The sequence below is a fragment of the Homo sapiens genome, chromosome 12 (genome assembly GCF_000001405.40).
Source record: "Homo sapiens chromosome 12, GRCh38.p14 Primary Assembly".
NCBI lineage: Eukaryota > Metazoa > Chordata > Mammalia > Primates > Hominidae > Homo > Homo sapiens.
The window spans coordinates 15,117,597-15,145,424 of record NC_000012.12 but is presented as its reverse complement, the minus strand read 5'-3'; the positions used below and the strand labels follow the sequence as shown (position 1 = coordinate 15,145,424).

General features: G+C 34.7%; 1 protein-coding gene across 4 annotated transcripts in view; it reads left to right on the top strand.

The window, feature by feature from the left end:
* Positions 1-27,828, top strand: part of RERG (RAS like estrogen regulated growth inhibitor) — a 113,635-nt gene that overhangs the window by 75,993 nt on the left and 9,814 nt on the right. Inside the window, exons 2-3 of one of the 4 annotated variants that reach the window (XM_047429797.1) lie at positions 1,717-1,896; positions 24,306-24,362. The exons of 1 other annotated variant lie outside the window; for it this stretch is intronic. In XM_047429797.1, the coding sequence (XP_047285753.1) occupies positions 1,845-1,896; positions 24,306-24,362 (109 nt within the window). In that variant the 5' untranslated portion in view covers positions 1,717-1,844. Of the gene's footprint in view, positions 1-1,716; positions 1,897-24,305; positions 24,363-26,146; positions 26,311-27,828 lie in introns of all 4 variants that reach the window. 2 more of the 4 variants (XM_047429798.1, NM_032918.3) reach the window with 2 other exon arrangements.

The window sequence follows — 27,828 nt, the reverse complement described above, 5'->3', positions numbered from 1 at the left end:
TCAAAGGGGATTTGGTGAGATCTCTCATGGCCCTGACAGGCTGTGAAGGAGAAGTTCCCCTTGTTCCAACTTCTTCACAGCTAACCAGGGATTGCTCTGTCTCTCTCTTCTTCTTTAATTCCAGGTCACTGGCTCAGCCTAAGAGGGAGGGGGTATAAGTCCACACCAAAATTTATCTCCCTTGCTTTTCTAACTGTCCTCTCTTCCTAGTCCAGAAAGAGTGTTTATCTCAGGCCTCTGAGAATGGGGTTGTTTGGGAACTGGGGGAGCAGAGGGTTCTTGTTAGACTCCAATTGTTAATGCCAAGACATTGGTCTGTTAAAACGTAGGAATGGCTATCTGTGATTTCTCTTTGCATCTGTGCTCTGGTTTACCTTCCCTGTGGGGAGTGGAGATCAAGGTCTAATAGAAAGAGAAGGAATGGAAAAAAGAAAAGAAAATTTTTCTGTTAAAAAAGACTTAAGTAAATGCTTCTCCACATTATTGCTCCCACTCATTTCACAACCTTCTGTCATTTTGTTCTAGTTCTGTTTCTCACAGCATTGTGCATGTAAACCATATTTGGTACACTACTAAATAGTAGCTGGATATATCATTAGATTTGTGTGATTCACAGTGTTATCTTCAGACCAAATGATGACTGATAAATGTTCATAATGGGCCTGTCTCCATGAATTGTATGTGATTCAGAACCATTTGATAATAGCTTGAAAGCCTAGATTGACTCTCTGCATTGCCACCCCTCCCTATTCTCTTAAGCCCACTCCATTCACGCTGTCATCCACACCACTCGGCCACCAATTTCACACTGCCAAATCCAGTTCCCAGTTCTCATCGTGTTTATTTGCAACATTTGAAACAAGTGATCAATCCCTTTTCCATGAAAAACCTTCTTTGCACAGTTTCCAGAATTCTAAACTTTCCTGGTTTTCCTCCTACTTCAACTTTCCAATTACCGTCCCTCATTTTTACCTCATCAGCCCAACTGTTTAAAGTGCCTCAGAGTTCAGGGTACTCCTATAGCTATGCTGCCTTCAAGTGACCTCATCCAATCTTGTGGCTTTAAATAGCATCTTTATACTGACAAATTTGCAAATTTGTATCTCTTTCCTGAATTTCTGCCCTCAACACCAGACTCTTGCACTCCATGGTCACTGAGCATCTCCATTGCATGTTTAAAAGATATTACCAAGTTATCTTGCACAAAACTGGCTTTCAATCCCTACCCTCCAACCTGCTTTTCCTGCAGTCTTTCTTTATCTCAGGAAATGGAACTTCATTCTTCCAATTTCTTGGCCCACAAACCTTGGAGTCATCCTTCACTCCTCTTTTCCTCTCATACTCCACACCCTTCTTCACCTCCTCACTCACCTCTTCTTCTTCCACTTGCCCTACTTTGTGCTCTCCATTCCAGCCACACTGGTGGCCTCCTGTTCCTTAAACAGGCCAAGTGCATGCCTGCCTCAGAACCTCTACACTTGCCCTTTCTTCTGCCTGGAACATTCTGTCCCCAGATACATGGATGGCTCACTTCGTCACCTGCTTTGGGTCTTTGCCTAGATGACATCTTGTTAGTGAAACCTTCTTTGGTCACCTTCCTTAAAATAAGATACCAATCAAATCCCTCCAACTCCTCTTTCTTCTCCCTGCTTTACTTTTCTTCATAGCACTTACCACCATATAACATACTATTTATTTATTTGGTTTTTGTTTTAGTATCTGTTTGCCTGTACTAAAATCTAAGGACCATGAAGCTTGAGGGAAGAGATTTCATCTGTTTACATCTCTAGGACCTACAGGAGCCTGCCACATTGTAGCTGCTCAATCAATATTGAACAAAATGAATGAACTCAGGGCCAGTAGTTACTCAACAACCAGCTCATTGCCATGCACATAGTAGGTATTAGTTAATATTTGTTTCATGAATGAATACAATGGCTTAAATCTATGAGCAGTTGTCTTGAACTCTAAAACTCACAGAAAATAATATGTATGTATTATTACATATGTGTGTTTATATAATATATACATTATATAAACACACATGTGTGTATATATTATATGTACATACACACATGTGTGTATGTATATATTTACATACACACGTGTGTGTGTATATTATATGTACATATATGAATGTGTATATGTATATTTTAATTTATATTATCCACAGTTTTTGTCTTTGTTCTGAGGTTTTCTAGGGAAAATCTCATTAATTACCGTCGAATTTTCTTTTAGTGTGCTTAAGCAAAAGCCTGGTACCTGTACAGGGTAGATGTGTTTGGTAATAGTTACTAACACTAACCTATTACATTAACCTACACAACCAGCCCCCATCCTCCAGCAGAGCTTCAGACAGCATGTACCAAAGATCACTAAGCCAAATCCTTTGGACTTGAAAGAAGGGTTCTGGAAAGTCACTTTTATTCTTTTTGTCTCCAAATGTACTCCTCCCTGTGGTGCGATTTGCTTTTCTACCTCACGCTGTGAAGAAATGGGTTTGGAACAGCTAGAAGAAAGCTGGCTAAGTTGTGTGCTTTTGCCAGTATATGTATCAAGACTTGTGCCAGTTATTTCAAAGTGAGAATATAACAGATGATGATAGTTTCAGAAAGTATGTATAAAGATATTTCAGGGGTTTTTTTTAGGTGGTTTAACTACCTAAAATATCTTATGAGGGAGACTGGTGTTACATTTTTATTTCTTCTCTCCTACCCCCCCTCTCTCTTCTCTTTCTTGAGACCCAAAGTATTATTATTATCCAGATAAATGCTAGAAAAATCAAAAGCAAAATAAAGAAGAGGCCAATTGATAAGTCGCCACCAAACAATCCAAAATTGATGCTTAAATTACAGTGCATGAGCCATATCAACCATGTAGCTATATTAGGATCATGTGTATAATAAATAAGCAAAACAATCTTTGATGAGCTTTTAAAATTAGTTTATTTCCAAACAGAGAGAACAAAATAAATGAGGTATAAAGTGAAATTTTCCTATAAAATACTCCAGTGTGCTACATGGAAACATTGACCTGTACCCATGTTTGTATAGCTGTTAGATTTTGGTTTTGTCTGACAATTTACTAAGAAATTTACTCTTAGAGTTGCTAGCAAGAGAATATTCCTGTGGCATTTGTGTTGAAATGAACATAAGATTGGCAAAGTGAATCTGAAGTGGAATCTTCTAATTTGAATAAGGTAATGACTCTTGGATTATTAAGGCTAAAAGATAAAATATGTAAATATTTGAGCCTGTGAAATAATTTTTAACACATTTATTAATGGAGAATAATCAATATTTTGTGATTAAATATATATGTATTAATCAGATATGTGTTCTTGCACATTCTTTAAAGTTAAGCGAATATGAGTAACTTGAAGAAGTTAGAAACAAACCAAATAAAACTAATAGTAAAATGTTAAATGCTTGTCAATTGAGTTCTACTTCTAGACCTACAGTGTCAATGATGGTAAGATAAATTCCTCTTTGTATCACACACTTTAAAATGCTGAAATATATATAACACATGGCTGAGCCAAAATAAATGTGAAAAAATATTGAAGACGCAAGAATAATAGCTGGATAAGGGAGCTCTAGAACATTACTGGAACAGTAAGCTGGAACAGACTTCTAATTTCAGCCTTGAAATGGAACGAGCTTGTAAGTCATCACTTCCATTCTTACAAAAAGAAAAAGCTAAATAAACTGAATAACAATCACTTTTCTTGGACCAGTCAGAATATTAAAGTTCCCAGGGAATCTATCATACTTTGAAACCTGGAAAGAGACAGACAAATACAGAAAATCATAGGCAAGATCAGTTCACCTGAACAGAAGCTGATGGGACTGTGAAATGTTCTCTAATATTAAAAATAGGCAACATTCAAGAACAGACGGGTAATATAAGCAGAAAGATAGAAACTTTAAAAAATCAAAATCAAAAGGATATTATGCTAGAAATAAGAAATAAACAAAACTAACAGAAAGGAAGAATGTGTTTCATGGCCTTATCAGTAGCTTGGACACAGCTGAGGAAGGAATCAGTGAGCTTTAAGGTATGCCAATAGGTAAAAACCCATCTCTACTAAAAATACAAAAAATTAGCTGGGCGTGGTGGCAGGCACCTGTAGTCCCAACTACTCAGGAGGCTGAGGCAGGAGAATAGCTTGAACTTGGGAGGTGGAGGTTGCAGTGAGCCGAGACTGCTCCACTGCACTGCAGCCTGGGTGACAGAGTGAGAATCCATCTCAAAATAGAAAAAAAAAAAAAAGACACATCAATAGGAACCTCCCAAAATAAAATGTGAAGGGAAAAAAGAATGAAAAATATAAAAATGAACACTCTCCACACTGGGTATCTAAGAACTGTAGGATAGTGTCAAAAGATGTACACATAGTTGGAATACCATAAAAAGAAAGAGAAAGAAGCAAAATAAATATTTGAAATAATAACTTAGAATATTCCAAAACTAATGGCAACTACCAAATCACACATCTAAAAGCTCAGAGAACACCAAGTAGAGTAAATACCAAAAAAGCTACACGTACACATAGGAAAATCATAGAAAACTCCAAAACAAAACAAAGACTAAAAACATATTGAAAGCAGCTGGCATGGGGGGAAGATCTTTCTTATAGAGAAGCAAGTATAAGAATTACATAGCAGACTCATCAGAACCCAAGCAAGAAGAGAGTGGAGCGAAATATTTTAAGTTCTGAAAGAAAAAAAAATTACCTAGAATTATGTATCCAGTGAAATTATCCTTTAAAAGTAAAGAAGAAATGAAGATTTTTCTCAGGCAAACAAAAATTGACAGAATTCATCGGTAGCAGAGCTGCCCTACAAGAAATGTTAAAAAATTATTCATGGAGAAAAAAACATTACATAGGCCAGAAACTCAGATTTACATAAAAAGGGAAAAAACAATAGAGAAAGAATAAATAACGTAAAATAAAATCTTTTGTTTCTTATTTTTTAAATGATTTAATTATAACTGTTATTCAAATGATAATAGTAATGATGTATTGGGTGATTATAGCATATGGATAAGGAATATGAATGACAGTAATGTAAGAGATGAGAGAGAAGAGTTGGGAGTATCTGTGAGGGCCCTCTTCCTGGTTTCCGGGTAGCTGTCTTTTTGCTAACCCCCAAATGGGAGAAAAAGAGTGAGAGAACTCTCAGGGGTGCCTTTTATAAGGGCATTAATCCCAGTCATGAGGGTTTCATCCTCATGATCTATTGTCTCCGAAAGGCTCCACCTCCTAATATTATCAACTTAGGGGTTAGGATTTTCATATATTAGTTTTGGAGAGACACAAACATTCAGTTCATAACACCTTTTAAAAAAGAAAGCAGACAGAAGTTCCATTAGAGAATTCTACCAAACATTTAAGAAAGATTGAGACAATTTTCTACAGAAATAAAAGCAGTGAACACTTTGTATAAGGCCAGCATTAGCCTAGAAGCAGAACCAGATGAACATAGTATACTTGAGGGGTGAAAAACTGGATTTTTCTCCTAGTAAGGTCATAAACAAGGCAAGGATATCCCCTCTTTCCACTTCTATACAACATTTCACCAGAAGACCTAACTAGTGTAATCAGACAGGAAAAGGAAATAAAGATACGCAGATTGGGAAGGAAGAAATGCAACTGTCTTTGTTCACAAATGATATGATTTTCTATGTAGAAAATCCCCCCAAATTTGCACAAAACCCCTGGAATTAATAAGTAATTATATCAAATAACAGTATACAAGTTTAATGTATAAAAGTTAATTGCTTTTCTATATACTAGCAATGAACAGATGGAATTTGACATTAAAAACACTGTACCATTTAAAACAGCACAAAGAAAATTAAATGCTTATGTATAAATCTAACAAAATATGTACCAGATCTATGCGAGAAGCATTATAAAACTCTGATCTAATAAAGAAGATCTAAATAAATGGAGAGATACTGCATGTTCACAGATTGGAAGACTCAATATTGTTAAGATGCCTGTTCTTCCCAACTTAACCTATAGATTCAATCCAATTCAAGTAAAATCCCAGCAACTGATTTTGTAGATATCAACAATCTGTTTCTAAAATTTATATGGAAAGGTAAAAAAACCTAGAGTAGCCAACACAATATTAAAGAGGAAGAATGAGTTCCATCACTAACACTACCAGACTTCAAGGCTTATTTATAAGGCTGTAGGACAGCATGGTATTCATGAACAAATAGACAGATAGTTCGATGAAACAGAATAAAGAGCTCAGAGGTAGACCTACACAAATAAAGTCAACTGATATTTTACCAAGGAGCAAAGGCAAGTAAATGTAGAAAGAATAGCTTTTTAAAAACAAATTTATGTTGTAAAAAGCAAGCGCCCACAGGCAAAAAAAAAAAAAAAAAAAAAAGTCTAGACACAGGTGAACAACTTTCACAAAAATTAATCAAAATGGATCATATACCTAAATGTAAAATGCAAAACTGTAAGGTTTCTAGATTATAGTATAGGAGAAAATCTAGGTAAGCTTCAGTTTCATGAAGACCTTTTAGAAGTGACAGCAAATGAAAGATCCATGAAAATAAAAAAAGGTTGATAATTGGACTTTATTAAAATTTAAAACTTCTGTTACGTTAAAGACACTGTGAATAGAATGAAAAGATGAGCCACAGAGTTAGAAAGTTATTCACAAAGCAAATAACACATATGTGCAAAAGGACTTACATCCCAAGTATACAAAGAAGTATTAAAACAACAATAAGAAAAAAATAAACTAATTTAAAAATGGGTAGAGTATGCCAAAGTCTCTACTGGAAAAAAGTAGACAATATGCAAAAGCTCATGGTTAATGTAAATAGAAATTCTAAGAAAGACCTCTAAAGAAATGCTAGATATTAAAATGTCTATAAAAGAAATGAAGAATGCCTTTAAATGCCTTTTTCCTCAGTCTCTTTGCTAATGAGTCTGGGCACAGCCAAAGGAAAAAAATCTCTGAGCTCAAGGATATGTCAATAGAAACTGGTAAAACTGAAAAGCAAAGAGAAAAGACACTGAAAAATATAGGACAGAATATCCAAGAACTGTGGTACAACTGTGGTACAAATGTATGTTATTTTCCATGCAACATACATGGAGAGGCAATACCAGAAGGAGAGGAAATAGGAAATAAGAGAAGTATTTGAAAAAATAATGGCTGAGAATTTCCCCCAATGTCAGACACCAGACCACACATTCAGGAAGCACAGAGAACACAAGCAGGATAAATGCGAAAGAATGACAGCCAGGTATATCATATTCAAACTTCTCCTCAGAAATTATGCAAGCAAGAAAAGAGTGAAATGAAATATCTGAAGCATTTTGACAAAAAGAAAATCCACCGACCTAGAATTCTATACCCTGAAAAATTACTCTTCAAAAGTGAAGGATAAATTAAGACTTTCTTGGGCAACAAAAATTGAAGGAATTTGCTGCCAATAAACCTGCCTTGAAAAAAAAATGATACGATACATTCTTCAGAGAAGGAGAATGATACATCTCAGAAACTGGATTGTACTTAAAGAAAGGAAGAGCATTACAGAAAAAGGTAATTTTAAAGGTAAAATTAAAACTTTAATTTTTCTTACTCTTAATTTATCTAACAAATAACAGTTTGTTCAATGTAGTAAAGGAAACAATGTATTTATAATTGCTCATGTATAAGTTGAATGAATGACAACGAAGATACAATGGACAGGAGGGAGGAATTAGGATTATTTTATTATTATAAGGTATTACTCTACCCATAAACTGGCGTAGTGTTATTTGCAAGTGGACTTGGATTAGTTGTAAATTCATATTTTTTTGCAAACTCCAGGGCAAGTACTAAACGAAGTAAAAAAAGAAGTAAAATCGATATAATAAAAAAGGAGAGAAAATAGAATCAAATAAAATGCGCAGGTAAAACCAAAAAAGGTAGAAAAAAGTAAAAGACAAAAAATAGAAACAAAGAAGAAAGGCAATGAATAGAAAACATAACAAATATGATAGATATTAATTTCATATATCAGTAATCATTTTAAATATCAATGATCTAAATACATCAATTAAAAGAGACTGTCAGATGCATCCAATATAAAATATATTTTAAATATAAAGACACATATAGATTAAAAGTAAAGGGATAGACAAATGTGATAATGTCAATAAAAAGAAAACTGGAATAGCTATATTAATATCAGACAGAACAAACTTCAGAGAAAGGAAAATTATAATGGATTAAAAGGAACATTACATGATGATAAAAGGGTTAATTATCCAAGAAGTCTTAGTAATATTTAATATATATGGGCCTAAAAAGAGAGGCCCATATATTAAAATGTGTGAGGTAAAACCTGATGGAACTTTAAGGAGAAATAGACGAATCCGCCATTATAGTTGGAGACTTCAACACCTTGCTATCAGAAATGGAGAGATCCAGCAGGTAGAAAATCAGTAAGGACATAGTTCAACTCAATAGCACCATAAATAAACTAGATATAACTGACATCTATAGGCTACTTCATCCAATGACAGCAAAATACACATTTTTTCTTCTTCAGCTTACACAGAACATTCATAAGATAGACCACGTTCTAGGTCATAAAAAACACCTCAAAAATTTAACAGAATACAAATCATAGAAAGCATGTTCTCAGACCACAATGGAATTAAGCTAGAAATCAACAACAGAAAGATTGTTGGAAAAATCCCAACATACTTGAAGACTCAACAACACACTTCTAAATAACATATGGGTGAAAGAAAAACTCTTGAGAAATTTAAAATAATTTGAACTAAATGAAAGTAAAAATACAACTTATCAAAATTTGTGTCATACAGCAAAAGCAGTGATTAAATAAAAATTTGTAGCATTGAATTCATGTATTAAAAGGGAATAAAGATCTAAAATCAATAAAATAAGCTTCCACCTATTTCTAGGAAACTAGAAATAGAAGAGTGAATTAAACACAAAATAAACAGAAGATAAGAAATAATAAAAACTAGAACAGAAATCAATGTAACTGAAAATAGAATATCTATAGAAAAATTAACAAAACTAAACATTAATTATTTGAAAAGATCAATAAAATTGACAAGCCTTTAGCCAGGCCAAGAAAAAGAAGATGCAAATTACTAACAGCAGAAATGACAGAGGGGATAGATATCACGACAGAGCCCATGGACATTGAAAGGATAATAAAGGAATACTATATGGGCAAATATTTCAGCCCACAAATTTTAGAACCTAGATGAAATAAACAAATTCCCTGAAAGACACAATCTACCAAACTCACACAAGAAGAAATAGACAACGAGAACAGGCATATACCTATTAAAGAAGTTAAATCAATAATCAATAACCTCCCAAAACAGAAAGTTCCATGCCCAGATGGGTTCACTAGTGAGTTCTATCATTTAAGCAAAAAATCTTAGAACTCTCTGTAATTTCTTCCAGAAAATAGAAGCAAAGGGAATACGTCCTAACTCATTCTATGAGGCCAGTATTATCCTAATACCAAAAGCAGGCAAAGGTATTACAGGGAAAGGAAACTATAGACCAATAAGGCACATGAACATAAATGCAAAAATCTTCAATAAAATATTCACAAATTGAATCCAACAATGTATAAAAAGGTGTATATGCCATGACCAAGTGGAATTTATTCCAAATATGCAAGACCGGTTGACATTCAAAAATTAACTAATTTATCAAATCAAGGCTGAAGAATGAAAAATCACATGATCATACCAGCTCACACAGAAAAAGCATTTGACAAAATCTTAACACCCTAATGGGTGATAAAAACTTTCAGCAAACTAGGGATAGAGGAGAACTTTCTCAACTTGATAAGGAACATTTTACAAGAAACTTATAGCTAACCTTACACTTAATGGTGAGAAAGCAAGTGCTTTCTCTCTAAGGTCAGTAACAAAGCAAGAATGACTCCTTTGACCAGTCCTTTTTGACATCATAATGCTTGTCTTAGCTTATGGAATAAGACAAAAAAGGAAAATACAAATTGGGAAGAAAAAAATATAACTGTCTTTGTTCACAAATTATGTGATCGTCTATGTAGAAAATTTTAAAGGAATAGACAAAAAACTCCCAGATCAGATAAGCAATTACGGAAAGATTACAGGATACAGGTCAATCACTTTCCTATATATCAACAATGAACAAGTGGAACAAATGTTGAAATTTAAAACATTCTACCATTTATGTTAGCACAAGATGAAATATTTAGCCACAAATCTAACAATATGTGCGAGACCTATGTGCAAGACCTCTATGGGGAAAACTACAAAATTCTGATAAGAGAAATTAGAGAAAAACTAAGTAAATGGTGAAATATTTCATGTTCATGTATAGAAAGAATCAGTATTGTCAAGATGTCAGTTCTTCCCAATTTGGTCTACAGATTCAATACAATTGAAATAAAAATTTCAGCAAATTGTATCGTGGATATCAACAAATTGATTCTAAAGTTTATATGGAGGCTGGGCATGGTGACTCATGCCTGTAATCCCAGCATTTTGGGCAGCTGAGGTGGGCAGATCACTTGAGATCAGGAGTTTCAAACCATCCTGGCCAACATGGTGAAACTCCATCTCTACCAAAATACAAAAATTAGGGCATGGTGGTGCATGCTTATAATCCCAGCTACTTGGGAGGCTGAGGCAGGAGGATTGCTTGAACCCAGGAGGTGGAGGTTGCAATGAGTCAAGATCACACCACTGCACTCCAGCCTGGGCAACAGAGCAAGACTCCATCTAAAAATATATATAATAAAAGAAAAATAAAAAGTTTATATGGAAAGGCAAAAGATCCAGAATAGATAACACAATATTAAGTGAGAAGGACATTCAGAGGACTGACTTCAAGTTTTATAAAGCTACAGTAATCAGAAGACTGTATAATATCGGTGAAAAAATAGATAAATAGACCAATGGAACAGAATAGAGAAATCAGAAATCGACCCACACAAATAATGTCAGCTTTGGTAAAGAAGCAAAGATAATAGAGTGGAGAAAATATAGTCTTTTTAACAAATGATGTTGGAACAACTGGGCATCCACATGCAAAAAGAAGAAAAGAAAAAGAAAAAAATGAACCTGGATATAGATATTATGCCAGTCACAAAAATTAACTCAAAATGAGACACAGAACTACATGTAAATGGTAAAACTATGAAACTCCTGGAAGGTAACATAGGAGAAAATCTGTGTGACCTTGGGTATGGTGGTGACTTTTTTATACAACACAAAGTAATGATGCATGAAAGAAATAATTTCTAAACAAATTATTAAAATTAAGAACTTCTCTGTGAAAAAAACACTGTCTAGAGAATCATAAGACAAGCCACAGACTGGGAGAAAATATTGGCCAAAGACATAATTGATAAAGGACTGTGATCTAAAATATGCAAAGAACTTCTAAAACTCAACAATGAAAAAAAGTCAACTAAAAAAATGGGTAAAACATCTGAAAAGACACCTCACCATAAAAGATATACAGATGTCAAATAAACATATGGAAAGATTCTCAACATCATGTATCATTTAGGAATTGCAAATGAAAACAACAGTGGGATACAACTACACATTATTAGAATGTGCAAAATCCAAAACACTGACAACACCAAATGCTGGTGAGGATGTGGAGCAAAAAAAAAAAAAAAAACCTCTCAGTCATTGCTGGTGGGGATCAAAAGTGGTGTAGCTACTTTGGAAGACAGTTTGGCAGTTTCTTACTAAAAGCTAAAGGTACTCTTGCTGTATGATTCAGGAATCAAATTCCTTGATGTTTACCCAAATAGTCTGAAAATGTATGTCCCTACAAAAACCTGCCCGTGGATATTTGTAGAACTTTTATTCATAATTGCCAAATCTTGGAAGCAACTAAGTTTTTCTTCAGTAAATGAATGGATAAACAAACTGTGGTACATCAGACGATGGAATGTTATTCAGCACTAAACAGAAAGGAGCTCTCAAGCCATGAAAAAACGTGCAGGAAACTTAAATGCATATTACTAAGTGAAAGAAGGCAATCTGAAAAGGCTTCACACTACATGATCCAACTATATGACATTCTGGAAAAGGCAGCACTATGGTGACAGTAAAACGATCAGAGATTGTTAAGATTTAGGGGGAAGAGAGGGATGAATAGGCAGAACACAGAGAACTTTTAGACAGTGAAACTGTTCTACATGATACTATAATAGTTACATGTACATATATATATATATATATATATATATATCTCCACAGGATATACAACCCCAAGAGTGAACCATAGTAAAAACTATGGACTTTGGTAATAATAATGTATCAATGTAGATTCATCATTGTTAAAAAAAAAAAAAAAGTTACCACACTAGTGTGGGATATGAATAATGGGGGAGGCTGTGTGTTGGGGGGCAGGGCGGGGGCAGGGAGGGCAGGGAGTATATGGAAACTCTGTGTGCTTTCTGATCAATTTTGCTATGAACTTAAAATTGCTGTAAAAAATCACGTCTCATTTATAAAATATGGGCCAAAGATCTAACAGACACCCCATCAAAGAAGATACACGGATAGCAAATAATCACATGAAAATATTCCCAATATCATGTGTAATTAGAGAATTACAAGTTAAAACAACAAGACACCAATACACCTATTAGAATGACTAAAATCCAAAGCCAAAAACCTGACAAAGCTATATTCTAATGCTGAGAAGGATGTAGAACAACAGGAGCTCTCACACGTTACTGATGGGAATGCAAAATGGTACAGCCAGTTTGGAAAACAGTTTGGCAGTTTCTTACAAAGCTAAACAAAGTCTTACCATAATCCAGCCATCACACATCTAAATCTTTACCCAACTGATTTGATGACTTATGTCTACACAGTTACCTGCATGCACATCTTTATTGCCAAAACATAATTGCCAAAAACTGGGAGCAACCATGATGTTCTTCATTTAGTTACTGGGTAAGCAAACTGTGGTATATCTATACAATAGAATATTCAGCAATAAAAGGAAATAAGTGATCAATCCAGGCAATGGCATGGATGAACCTTAAATGTGCATTGCAAAGTAAAAGAAGCTAATTTAAATAGGTCACATACTGTATATTTCCAATTATTATTGGACACATTTAGTAATGGTAGGAGTGAAAGGGAAACCTTTCAGTGCTACTTTCTTTCCCTTTGTAGTACTGGAAATGATTCCTAAATAAGCCTTTTGTTTCCAGTCTTACCTTCATCCTCCTAGTTCATCTTGGCAATGAAACAGCAGTGACCTTTATAAAACAAAAAGATGTTCATGTCATATTTTGGTTTATAACACTTTAATGGCTTCCCAGCATCCTAAACATAATTGGAAATTTCTTAGGCTGGCTTATAAGCTTTTCATAATGGGGGTGCTTTTCCAGCTCAAACACCCATAATTCCTTCCACTGACACCCTTATTTCACCAGGCCCTGGTTCTCCATATGTTTAAGGCTTCCTGTCTTCTTATGGGGTGTAAAGGTAGCCATAGGAGTGGTGTTTGGTCTGCAAATGGAGACACCCTACTGTTAGAGGTTTTCCCCCTGGACTAGAATCCGTGGGCACAGCCTATTTAGGAATTGCAAATGAACTGTATGTGTCCATATGGACAGGAAACCAGATCAGTCTAGAGAAAAGGACATGATGAAGAGAGTAACTTGTAAGATCCTAGGATCTGTATAAGGAGGTCATCCAGCGAGGTTTATGCCAGATGGCATAAACCTCTGCTTCTCTGGGATACTTAGTCACTCTGAGTCACTTTTATGTCCACAATAAAGTCCAAATGTTTTCGGTTGTCAATTTCTTATGTGCCCTAGTAACATAAGTGTAGGAAAAAAATTTAGGCATTAACATCATAAGTATTTCTTTCTCCAAGAAAAAGTAAAAATTGAAAATCTAAATTTTATATCCAAATCCCTTGGCAACTTAACAAAATGCTTAATACCTTACAAATAATTCTGTTTAAGCATGATGACTTGGAATGAAATATAAGTTATTAAATTAAAAACACTGACTTGGGAAATTTAGTAATTTATTTATTAACAATCACTTTTAAAATTAACATAAATAATATTTTTCAACTTATATAAAACTGGTTTGAAATCTTGGACACAAAACCCTTTTGATTTATTAACCTTCAAGACTGAAACAAAAAGATAAAGCCAAATTAGTTGATTACCATATTCCAAATTTATTTTCTCTTGTTTTTACTTTCAATTTAAATTCTTCAGCAAAATAGTGTCATTTAGTTATACAAGTTAATTTTCTATAGAAAATTAAGATTTTTCTTGATTTTGCATTATTTTTAAGCATTCCAATATCTCTACTGCTTTTCAAACATGTTAGGAATTAAAAGCAATGATTCTGCCATTTTTCCCCTCATCGTGTGTCAGCCTAAAACCAAATTACCAGGATCAGATTAACCTTTACCTTACCATTTCCAAGTTAAAAAAAAAAGTCAATTTTCCAGACTTGAGATGCACTGAAGCTAGACTCCCAGGCTAGATTTTCAAAAACAAAAGTGTTTCCCTAATAATTCTTGGAGATTACACCACTTAGCCTTAAAAAATGATTTGTACAGAGAACTGATGTGTTCTCAATGATATTTTTGTGAGAATGCAAGACTGGTCAAAATTTTCAGGCTTAAGCAAACACAGTAATTTAAAAGCAATCCCTAGACCCCCATCTGGAACTAATTTACTTCTCATTTTAACTTCTGGCATTACAAAGCATGCATTTTATATAGCATTCATTTTAAATTTCCATTAAATTGCTCAATTTTATTTTTTATAAAGCCAAATGGTTTTTTTTTTCAATGTCAATTTATTTTGACCTTCACAGGGAATAGAAAAAGAGGACAGGTGAAATAAGGGGTAAGAGAAAGGGTTCCTTCAGAAATAATCACTATATGAAGAGATATTTGTCCCCTGGCTTCATCTGTTAACTTTTTTAGTTTAGCTAAAACATCTGAGGAGTTTAGGTGGAGGAGAACATAAAAAGCAAGAGATGCCACCATGAGATGAATCTGAAAATAGAATTATAAGTTAAGTCCTCTTCTACTTAAACTATCTACCTGGACCATGTTAACCATGCCCACTGCATGCCACCACCCACCAGAAAGTGGCACTCTGGCAAGGATCACTCCCTACAGCTTCAGGCTTTGATGTCCACTGCTTATGGGGCAGTGCCTAGCACAGTACCTGGAGCATGATAAACATTCAATAATTGTGTATGTATGATAGATAGGCAGATGAATGGCAGGATAAAGGATGGATGAATGGATGGATGGCAATTCTCTACATTATGTTTTCATTAATGTCTTATGTTCAACATGTTCAAGTCCAACATCATTTTTAATTTGTTTTCCCATTATATTCCCCATTATATTCTCAAAGAATAATGCTACCCCCAGACTTTTATTTCATGTGGAGTCTTTGCACTAATCCCTCTCCCTCACTGTCCATTTATAATCAATGAATGGTCCCCAAGATGATCAGATCAAATTGAGCCATTCTCCTACCCAGAACCCCTGTATGCTCAAAAACTTCAGAGTAAAATCCAAGCTCCTTAGTGTGACATAGGAGCTACTTTATAGTCTGGGCTCTAAAGAACCTCACAACCTGACCCCCTACCAACATAGCTCCCCCTACATGCCACTCTACCCACCCTGAACCACATGTGATTCCTAACTGAACTAGCTCTCTTGTGTCTTGGCCCCTTCTCTCTGCTTGAAATGCTCTTCCTAAAATAGTGAGCTTCAATCTTCTAAGACTCAGCTTATGGCTTAGCTTTAATATAAAGTCATTTCTAATATCATGCCTAGGCATCCTCTCAGTCGTGCTTTCTTTGGTGCTTTGCACAGTGGTCAATAAATATTTATTGACTAAATGAATGTGTGTGAAAGTCACATGTGTGGAGAAAGAGAGATAGATTTGATAGGAGATCAAAATGGATAAGCATTTGAAAATTATTGCATTCAGTTATCAGCAAATATATCTGAAATCTAGTTTTTGTGTACACATCTTTGCTCTGAGCCCCCCTTTTTTAAAGATCTGACATTTCAAATCACATAATTTTCTGAGGGTTTTTTTTTTTTTGACATCTTATTTCCAATCCAGCTCATTTCCATTCCCTTCCAGAACAGCTCTTCAGTACAGAAATAGTTTTTCATCTCCTTTGACTAAGGGCTCCAATATTCCAAACTGGCATAATCTTGGTCTCAGCCATCACCAACAGCTGTGAAAGCGAAGCTTCAACTAGCTGTCATGGTCCCCATGTGGCTTTCTAGGCCGGGACTCACTCGGTCCTGGGATCTCATACTTCACATCTCCTTCTGAGGCACAATGACCCATATTTCTTGGAGGAGACCAGAACGGTCACAGAAAAGAGAGTAAGGACTGCTGTAAAAAAGAACATGAACTTGAGGGTTGGTGATAGAAGACCCAGGAACAAGGTATGAAGAACTAAAAGTGTTGGACCCAGGGGACGAGGAATTGGAAAATTCGATTTGGAGGCTTGATTTGACAGGAGGTTGCTCGAGGTGCAGGTGAGGGAGGGAAGAAGAAGGAGCTGAATTGCCTCTTATTTAGGGAGACCCACTGCGTTGTTGTCCCTAAGCTGGAAGACAAACCATTATAAGGCTGACACACCATACACATTACTCCTATTTTATCTGCTAGAGTTTTTCCAGAAAACACAAGCTTTGCTCCCTGTGAGGCACTTGAGTGAGTCCAGCTCACCTCAATCTGGCCTCCCTTTTACCCAGTCCTTGCAGTAAGAATTCTAGACATCATAACAGGACTTCAATTGGATACTATTCAAAATTACCCACATATCTTTATATTTTTCCTGGGACATGCAAAGGTGCAAACTTACAACACTTTATGAATAGAAACTGTATCTTATTTTCTTTGCTGACTTCCTCACTGCCTAAAAATGGTTCCTGGTATGCTAATTTTTATTGTTAATGACTGAGGAAACTCATAAGAAAACATTTGCTTTTAGCATACTGCTTCATCGCCTACATCTTCAGATACTTGTTTTCCTCATCTACAGCATTCTTAAAGACGTTTTCAAGAAAAAAACAAAAATCTTCTTTATCTAAAAGTTTTCTTCTTGCTTCACGAAATTCATGTTCTCTTTCTGTGTTGCCATGGTTTCTGGTCATGGATATTTTCTCCACTAAGGAAGAATAAATCTAATCACAAGCAAAATATTCCCTTCTCAAAGCATGCTTCTCCATAAGATGTACGCTCACGTTAAAAAAAATCAAACATGTAGAATTATATCGTATACATAGAAATATTAAAATACAGTGGAAAAGTATTGTATATTGGAAAAATTACGGGTTTTAAGGTAAACAGAGTTGGGTTCATATCAGTTTTATCACTTAACTGCTTTGTAAATTAGACAAGTTTATTCACTTTTCTGCTTTGGTTTCTTATCTGTATAGTGGGAACATTAATTTCTACTTTTAAGGGTTTTTATGAAAATTAAATTAGCTTAAAGTCAGTATTTAATATATACTTAAGCTTCCTTTTGATATTTAACCTTCAAGAAATCCCAGTAGTGTTTTTATTTAAGATACAGCTAAAACTTACCTAATGGCATTTTCTAAAAGCATATACACTTTAATCCAACAACTAATATAATTAATAAATGGATATTTAGTTCCACAAAATTAATTCATTCAGTAATAAACTATCTCCACAAATCTAGGGTAGAGTCTTCTCTATTTTTGTGAATAATGCTCATTTTTACTTCTCTGAAGTCTTTTGACCACTTAAGAGTTGGAGTTAAATTTAGGGCTGATAGTGGTGTGAGGTCAGGGGTAGCAATTCCTCTGGCCTAGGAGAGTAAGAGTGATGGGTCTTGCCTTTCTCAATCAGGTTTGCAATATAGATTGACCAGACTGGCATCCGACCAGAGAAGTAGTCAATATATTTTCAAGAAATGAAAGTTCCACTTTAAAGAACATGTCTTTCAAGTAACAAAAACATACTAGAGTACAGGCCCAAGCACAATAGCAATAGTGGAGCCACATAGCTTAAAGAAATTTTCATTGTTTTCTCATTCATTTCTCAAATACCTATTGGGCACATATGTGTCAAGTGCTATGCCAGCCATGGGACATAAAGATGAACAAGGCTTAATCTCTGACTTCAGATCATTCACCATTTCTAAGACATACAAGAATATAAATAAATGTTTACAAGGTAATTGTACACATTATATAACAGAGAAGACACAAAAGACAATTTCATGTCACAGATGAGTGATTAATGGCTTGGAAAGGCCAAGAAAGACTTTAAAGAGGAGGTGATGCTTCTTTAGATACCGCAGGTAGAAATGCTATCTGGGCCGGGCGCGGTGGCTCATGCCTGTAATCCCAGCACTTTGGGAGGCTGAAGCGGGCGGATCACAAGGTCAGGAGATCAAGACCGTCCTGGCTAACACGGTGAAACTCTGTCTCTACTAAAAATACAAAAAAATTAGCCGGGTGTGGCGGGTTGCGCCTGTAGTCCCAGCTACTGGGGAGGCTGAGGCAGGAGAATGGCATGAACCCGGGAGGCAGAGCTTGCAGTGAGCCGAGATTGCGCCACTCCAGCCTGGGCGACAGAGCGAGACTCTGTCTCAAAAAAAAAAAAAAAAGAAAGAAAAAGAAAAAGAAATGCTATCTGGATATGAGTTAGTACATTTTAAATATGTGTTTCTTTTCCCCTTTCTTTGACTTAGTTCCATTCTGGGTTACCAGCTTAAAATACTGACAAGCTATTAGTTTATTTGGGCTTTTAAGGGCGCTATGCTAAACTAACATCAGCTTGCAAGTATTTATGGAACACTCCAAATATGTAATGATCCCTGCACTATATTTAAAATAATAGCAATAAACCCTGTAAGAAATGTACAGTCAAGTAAATTAAGATGGTGAAGCAAAATGGTATCATGAGGATAATTACATTGTCTATGTATGTGTGTTAGCACATCACGTGTGTTAGAATTAAGGGAATAGTGTTGGTGCTCCACACCTAGGCAATAAAAGAGGATAATAAATGTTCAGAAGTTTATGTCTAAAATATCAGATTTTAATAGACATTTCAGGTTTCATTTTCACCAGGGTTTTTAGTCTTTTCTTTTGTAACAAAAGAAGGTTGAGACTAGACGATGCATTTTTTTCAAATGGAAGAATGTTTATATATGTAAAAATGTATGTGTGTAAATACATATATATATATATATATATATATGGTATATACAACATTCTCCATGGAATTTTTCAAATTAAGGGTTTAGACAATAGAGGAATACATTAGTAAGACTCTTAAGCTCCCTGGTAGCAAAGCCCTCATCTGTAAAAAGAGAATGTAGATCCTGAGGCTAGGAAAGAGTAGGCTCACATTTTAGGAAGAAATGTAAACAACTTGAGCTTCAGTTTCTTCACCAATATACATACATTGTATTCATATCCGTATCCATATATTCCACACTATAAGGAAGTGAAGAGTAAAGATACATGTGTAAATATTTACTGTAATGCCTAACTGAATAGAGCATACACTAAATGAAGATGAATAATTATAACACTACTGCATTACTTTTAAACTTTTTCCATTATAATTTTTAAAATATTATTTAAATTGAGGTCATGCTTAATGAAATGAGAAAACAGTTCCCATGTTGTATTAAATCCTCTCATTCTTCTCTTTTCCATTATTTTTTAAACACTTGCTTTATTTATTATGACATTTTAACTATAGATCATAAAAACCAAACTGAAAACAATTTAGTGTTGATTTTACAACCTTTCTGGGCTTGGTAATGTATGTCATTGCCTCCTGAATTTTGCTGGTCAAGGTAAGATCAAGTAGTTAAACTGTAAGTACTATAATGAAATGAAAATGGAGGAGAAATGAAGAGAGCTACTCTATCTCCTGGAGGCATCTCAACCTTGAAAAGCTTCATACTTAGGATACTACGTAAGTTTATTATAATTTATTCATGTAGTTTTTAAGCTTTAACATTTCTAACTTTTTTATTATAAATAAACATAGGAAAAATAATTCAGATAACAAGTGGTAAATATACATATCACAACCCATAACGGACTAAAGTTGTGCTAGTATTACCCACATTTACCTTCTCTTTATATAACATAGATTTTTGTTTTTCACAAAATATTTGAAACCGTTTGTGACAGAATTGTCCCAAAGTTGGCAAACTTTTGTAGAAGTCCCTTGAAAAGTATTTTAAAGTTACGTGATTATACAACTTATAGGTAACTATGTATTTTTTTGTGAAGGTACTGCAGGTTACAGAATGAAAATGATATAAATCACTTAATATACATCCATAGTAAGTTTTCATTATTATATGAATGTTGTACTGTTGTAGAGTATATATTAAATATCAAGGGTCTTTATAGGGTATGTTACTAGGATTATAGACAAAATTCAAAAGGCATTCATGATGTGAAGGTTATGAGTAATATTCCTTGAAGCACTTTTAATTGGAGCAGAAATTCTTTTCCTAACCAAAAAAAAATCTGTCCTGGCCATTTTAAACACTTTTAGTTACATTTTTCCAATGCAATCAACTCACCACAGTCCCATAAATACATAATACTTTTTCCAGCTGGAAAAAAAATTTCCAGCATTTTTCCATAATAAATACTTATTGTTGTATGCTACAAAGTTTTGGAGCGGATTTGTTATATAGCAATAGCTGTATGCCTGGGGACCTATAGAAAAGAACAATCACAACTGTGTAGGAGGTTACATATGCTTAAGTATCTTAGAAAAAAATTGCATTATATACATTGTTAATCAAGTTACTTCATGAATTCTATAAAGAAAAGTAATGACATATTTTTCAAGTATGATACTGAAAGGTAGCATTTGAAAGTTTTGCCTGAATCTCTCTTGAATATGACTCTTAAATAAGGAATAGCATGTGTGTTAGTTTACATTTACCTTGAAGAGTTCATTTCTTGCTGAAGCTGATTTATTGTACAGATCATACCTAATTAATTTTCATTTTAAAATATTATTCTGAAACTAAATCTGGCACTCCTGATGCCTGCTTCTTCTTGATAATGATGTCAGGAATTATTTTGAGTAACCAGCATAGATTGGTTAATTTTTAGAAATAACGTGACTATTTTAATGTAGTGGTTTTACCTTTTAGCTCTTACTTATGAATGGAATATCATGCCACTGAATGATTACATTAAGTGACTTTTAAAAATATTTTATTGGATTAAATGTTTCTTTACCAAATTTTCCATTTTGTTAGAAACCAATTTTCATTAATAATCATAAAATTCATACTACCAGTAATACTAAAACAGAACCACAGATGATGAAGAATTAGCCAAGTAGGTTGTAAATTAGGCAAAAGGAGGAAAACAGTCTTCCCTACATTAGCCATTGGACATGTTTGGCTTGTTTAATGGAAAGGCAGGGGTTGTTCAGGCAATGGGAAGAAAATAAAATATTTCAGAAGGCAGAGACTCAACAGTAACTACTAATCAAATATGTCAAACCTTAAAACTTCTGGAGCAACAAGGCCTTAAATCAATACCACCATTTTACTTCAAAAGACAAACTTTGCTCAAGATAGTTGGGATGGAGAGGGAAGGGAGTCAAAAGGAAATTAGGTCAATCTTTATAGTACCCATTTTCATTAATTATAGTTAAATTAGATTATTAATGTATTAATAATGTAATAAACTTAAAAATTAATAAGTTTTAATATTTATTATATAAATTTAATAAATTATACAACTGGGATAAAATTTTATTATTTAAATTTAATAAATTAACTATTTTGAATATATATTTATTATTTAAATTTAATACATTAAACAACTGTTTTGAATATATATATATTTATATAATAATATATATAACTTTTTTGAGTTTTTGAGCATTCATACACATATATATGCTCAAAAACTCTAGCACTCTAGAGTTCTTTTGCCTCTTCCACTCTACAGCTTCAGAAAGTATTGCTGCATAACTGCACAGGCACTAACCAAGGTTCTTAACTGACATCCAGGCATTTACAAATGATTCAATTATGTTCAGTATACTTGGTTTTGAAAGCTGATGGACTGTCTAATACATTTTTTAAATATTTTGAGAAATGATTCAAATTTAAATGGTTTTGGAATTGAAGAACTGTAAACTTCGCTCATGTAAAAAATTAAGCTCATTTTTTCATCATGGCAGATAATTAAGTTTTCTAGGTTGCAGCCTTTAGTGTTAAAACTACATAGTCTGGCCGGGCGCGGTGGCTCACGCCTGTAATTCCAGCACTTTGGGAGGCCGAGGTGGGCAGATCACGAGGTCAGGAGATTGAGACCACCCTGGCCAACATGGTGAAATCCCGTCTCTACTAAAAATACAAAAATTAGCTTGGTGTGGTGGCACGCGCCTGCAATCCCAGCTACTCGGGAGGCTGTGGCAGGAGAATTGCTTGAACCCGAAAGGTGGAGATTGCAGTGAGCCGAGATCATACCACTGCACTCCAGCCTGGGCAACAGAGGGAGAGTGTCAAAAAAACGAAAACAAAAAACAAAAAAAAAAACAACTACGTAGTCTAACAAAAGATGGAACTCTTTAAATCGTGCAAGCTGTTAGGTGTTTATTAATGTTGCTAATTGTACAAAAGAAAAAATATGTTTACTGCTTACTGCTTCCTGTATGTAAAAATAAAAGTTTCAGTCTCAAGAGAATGACAATGACAGACTCTGAAGACTGCAGATAAAACCACAAGTACAGTCACTGTGGGAAGTATTACAGGGTCAGTGGCCTTGCTACTTTAGGCACTGCAAATATTTTGGCTCGAATTCAGCCTCACACTCTGTAATTACAAAGAACATTGGTAGTTTCCATCTCCGGCCCCTGGTCAAGAAGCCACGTTGTGCTCTGTTTTGCGAAGTCCTCATGCAATTTACACTGCCATCTCCCATATAAAACTGTACAGGAGGAAGGTTATACCTCTGTTTTTCCTAAAAGTGAGACTAGGCAAAGACTGACAGTGACCTTCCACTAACTAGTTTTATTTCTTCAAGGAGTATCCTTTGGCTGCTACATTCAGGGCATTTCAGTAAAAATAAAAATACACATTATAATGGGTATTTTAAAACTGTAAAATATGATAGACAATGAATCTTTCATTAAGGTCAGTGGGATCCCTGGGAGGCCATCAGGGGTCTATGGAGGGCTCATGAGCCTGCTAAATTATATGCCAAATGTGTGTATGTATATTTTTTCAGGAAAAGGATCCAATGCTTTCATTCCATTTTTTAAGTGCCTGTGACATCCCGCTCCAATTTTTTTTTTTAATTTAAAACCACTGTTTTCAACTATACTACAAGTGTAAGAAAATGTTTGGCATATGTCTTATCAATTTATAAGGACAATAGAGTCCACATATTTCCATGCTTTTCTCCAGCCCATCTTCCAGTTAAATATTATCCAGATGGCCTAGGACTTAAATTCAGTTTGATACAATGGATAAGTTACAGACTTCCTGGATTCAGATCCTTAGCAGGCCACTAACTAACTAGATAAGCTTAATTAAATGAGTTAACCCCACAGTGCCTCAGTTTCCTCATCTGAAAAATGGGAATTAACATCGTACCTGCCTCATAAAGATGACGTGAGGATTGAGGAGATCATGCAAGCAAACTGCGTAGCATCGTTCCAGAACCTGACTCTGACTGTATTCTATCAGTGCTACTTTTGATGAGTTTTCACAGATCTCTAATAAAAATCCTTAATTTTGAATATCTACTTTTTTAAAATGCAAATGACCTGCTAGTGAGCTTTCATTACACTAAAAATTATCACATTTCAAACTTGCCTTTGCCAATCCTTATCAATATTCAAACTTCGGATACCTGTATTTTGACCTTTTATATCTAAATTCATCATTTTACTAAAAATTTTATATATAAGCATTTTCACATTATACTTTTGTTTGTTTTGTTTTTAACCTTGTGACTAAAGCAACAAATCTAATTGTTGACTAATGCACAATAAACCCATTCAAATATTACAATGGTTTTTTGGCCATAATATGAAATTGGAAAATTACTTGAATAAACATAAAAAAATTTATTTGTTTTATATATCAAGGAAATATAAAGCATTTATAGGGTTGTGTGGAGCATTTCGCTTTCCTTAAAAAGATAGGTGTGCTAAGCAAATTAACAAATTATTTTTTGAAATGTTGCTCTTTTCTTCCACAGCTCTTGTAGTGAGATTTCTGACCAAACGGTTCATCTGGGAATATGATCCCACCCTCGGTAGGTCAAATTTTGTTTCCTTCTCCTCTTCAATAAAAATTTATGGCCCCAAAGAAAGAATAATGTTTTCTGTTGCAACATTTTTAAGCTCCTTTTAGCTGATGTGGAAGTGCTTTTCAAATCATGCAAAGAAGCCCTCTATGAGGCTAGATGTGTGTTTCATGCTGTCTGTGCTTAGAACCCTGCAGGATTTTAATGCATAGATGAAGAAATTAGGTCAAGCCTCAGCCATGAGGAAAGGAAGTGGGTACAACACACTTCCCTCACATAAGAAAAATGCAGTATCATTCTAATGGGAGAGAGAGGATAAAACGGACATGGAAAATTTGGTGCGTAATAGAATGGTATCCTGAGAAGAGTAACAGAAAAATAAAACTACTGAATATGGATTTTAGGGAAAAATAAAATATGTTTCTCTCTTTTCTTCTCTCCAATACATCCGACTAAAGCCTGTTACAGAGAGAGAAGGAGAGAAGAAGCAGCAAAATATGATGTCTGTGGATCTTAAAAATAGTAATAATGTTGATGTATAAAATGTAGGCAAACACTCTTCCTGGTTTTTTTTTTAATTTCTTTGTTTTGTTTTATTTTTGTCACTCCAAGATTTTCAGTTTAAAAGGGATAAAGACTTCTTTCATTGTTTTTATTCATTCATTCTACAAATGTTTATCAAGCGCCTTCTGTGTGTCAAAGTGTTCTGGGTGCTAAAGATAAATCAGTATACAGAAAGAGAAGGCCTTGGCTTTTTTGAGTGCACAGTCTAGGAAAGAGAGAAGAGTCAATAAACAAGCAAATATATGTGAGATAGCGATAAGTTCTGTGAAGGAAAACAATAAGGAAGGGAATAGAGAATGATCTTATGGTTTACTTAGTATTTGACTAATAGTTCTGAAATTTATTTTAGTAAGAAGTACAAGGTGAAAACCCAACATTTTTGTCTAAATCGTTGACCAATTTTCCTCCTGTTATTTATTAAATACTCTCTACCTTTCTCCACTACTTCCAATGCAATCTTTTCATATGTTGAATTGTTTACACCAGGACACCATTCTAGATTTGCTTTTCACACCAAACAGAAGCAGCACACTTTTTCGTTAATTGTATGCTGTACAGAACATTTTGATACTTTGTAGAGAACATCTTTCCTCATTACTTTTTTACAGAATTATTTTGGCTACTCTGTTCAGTTGATTTTTCCAGATCAAGTTTAGAAACTCTGTAATAATATGACATGATTTTGATTAGAATTGTACTAGAACTATAAATTACTTTGAGAAGATCCACATCTTTATGTTATTCCACCTTTTAATCTAGGAGAATAGCATGTTTCTACATTTATTATTTATTCTTCTGTTTTTGCTTTTAAATAGGTCAGAGTTTTCACATCCAAATTTTTCAACATATTTTTAAATGTAGCCACACTAATTTTAAGATGATATATTTGGATCTAAAAATGCACCCGATTTTTTAAAAAAATTATTCTTTATTATTTTACCCACCAAAGTGAATACTTATTCTTCTCTTATATTTTTATTACTTACATAAGTTTTACATAGATTATCTGAGAATCTTAATGATTAATGGGAGTTTAATTTTAAAAATACAAATTTTTTATTGCTGTATCCATATATCTCAATGAAAGATGAAGCTTATAAAAAATGGTCTCATAAAATGAACTCTCCCTGAATGTGTTCCAGTACCTAATCTTATTATTCTTAATTAGTCTTAGTTTAACCATTTTCTCTTTTGTTTTATTCATCTGAAAAAAAAACTGCTATTAATAGTAATCTGCCTGCATCAGTTATGTATAGTGCGGGCTTCCTTCAGTAAGAATAATGAAACTTTATTGAGTGACCTTGTACAGTACTTCTCAAAGAGGATGGCAGCTGCTAAGCAACAAGCACTTTCATCAGACTTCAGGAGTAATGGATACATGACTCATTCCCAGGTGAGGGCTTCATTAATTCTCTCACACTGGAGGCTGGATTTGTGTGTCTATATGAGTGTGTGCAAGAGGTCACTTTTGTTCCAGCATAGAGGGGTTCTCCATCCATTTGATTCAAGGGAAATGAGCATTTCCTGAGTTTAACTTCATAATACCTTGGGGAAGACAGGATTCTTTGTTGAATACATGGCTACTGCATTAGTCCATTCTCACAATGCTATAAAGAAATACCTGAGACTGAGTAGTTTATAAAGAAAAGAGGTTTAATTGGCTCATGGTTCTGCAGGCTGTACAGGAAGCGTGGAAGCATTGGCTTCTGGGGAGGCCTCAAGGAGATTTTACTCACGGCAGAAGGGAAAGTGGGAGCAGGCATCTTACGTGGCATGACCATGACTGAGGGTGGGGGGGGGCATGCCAGACACTTTAAAACAACCAGATCCCACTAGAACTCACTATTGTGATGACAGCACCACGAAGGAAGGTGTTAAACCATGAGAAACCACCTCATGCTCCAATCCCCTCCCACCAGGCCTCACCTCTAACATTTGGGATGACAAATGAACATGAGATTTGGGTGGAGACACAGATCCAAACCATATCAGCTACTTTGACTAAAAGTTTCAAAACCACCACCAAAAGAGATAACTACATTAAAAAGCCAAGTAGCTTATATACAAGAAGCAGTCTTGAATTCTGAAGTCAGTGCTTTCCTGAGAAACATGGGGCAGTTTTTTTTTAAACCTGGAACAGAATTGTTACTCCACGAGAAGCTGAAGACTATGAACATCATTCTACATATTAACTCAATTAGAATATTTACTGCTTTGAAATAATTCAATGAAGAAAATGCTTGCTACTATAGTAGCAAGTGACTCCTAAACTTTTCGGTTTCAGACTCACTTTTTTAAATTTGATTTTTATGGAGAAAGCCTATCCTAATAATTCAATTAGGGATGCAGGCAAGGGAAGGAAATGGGGGAGGGGGAACTAAACCTACGCTCCACTTGCACTTCATAAAAGAAAGAAATTGCTTTAACATCCGAGTGTTTCGAAGGATACAATGTAAAAAAAATCAGTTCCTTACATTGAACAATTTTAGTTTTATTTTAATTTTCCTTATTATACTGTGGATCGGTGAAATCTTTGTGGGTGGCCAGCACACAGATGTCTATGAACCACATTTGAAAACCACCACTGAAGCTCATAAGATGTGCGAGTTGGACCATCTAACCATGAAAACCCCCTGATGGTGGTGGCAGCAATTATCTGATTGTAGAACAACAGGATCCATGTTCTGAATGGATCCCAACCAAGAATTGAATCCCTATCTCCAAGAGTCATATTACCCTCTAAGAATGCTGGTCACCACAGAGAATATAGATAGAGGCTTAGAATGTGTGTGCCTGTGACTGTGTGTGTGTGTGTGTGTGTGTGTGTGTGTGCGCGTGTGTGATGGAGGCATTTGGAGAGGAAGAGAGAGACTGTATTTCAGCCTCTATCACTACTGCGACTGTTACCTTG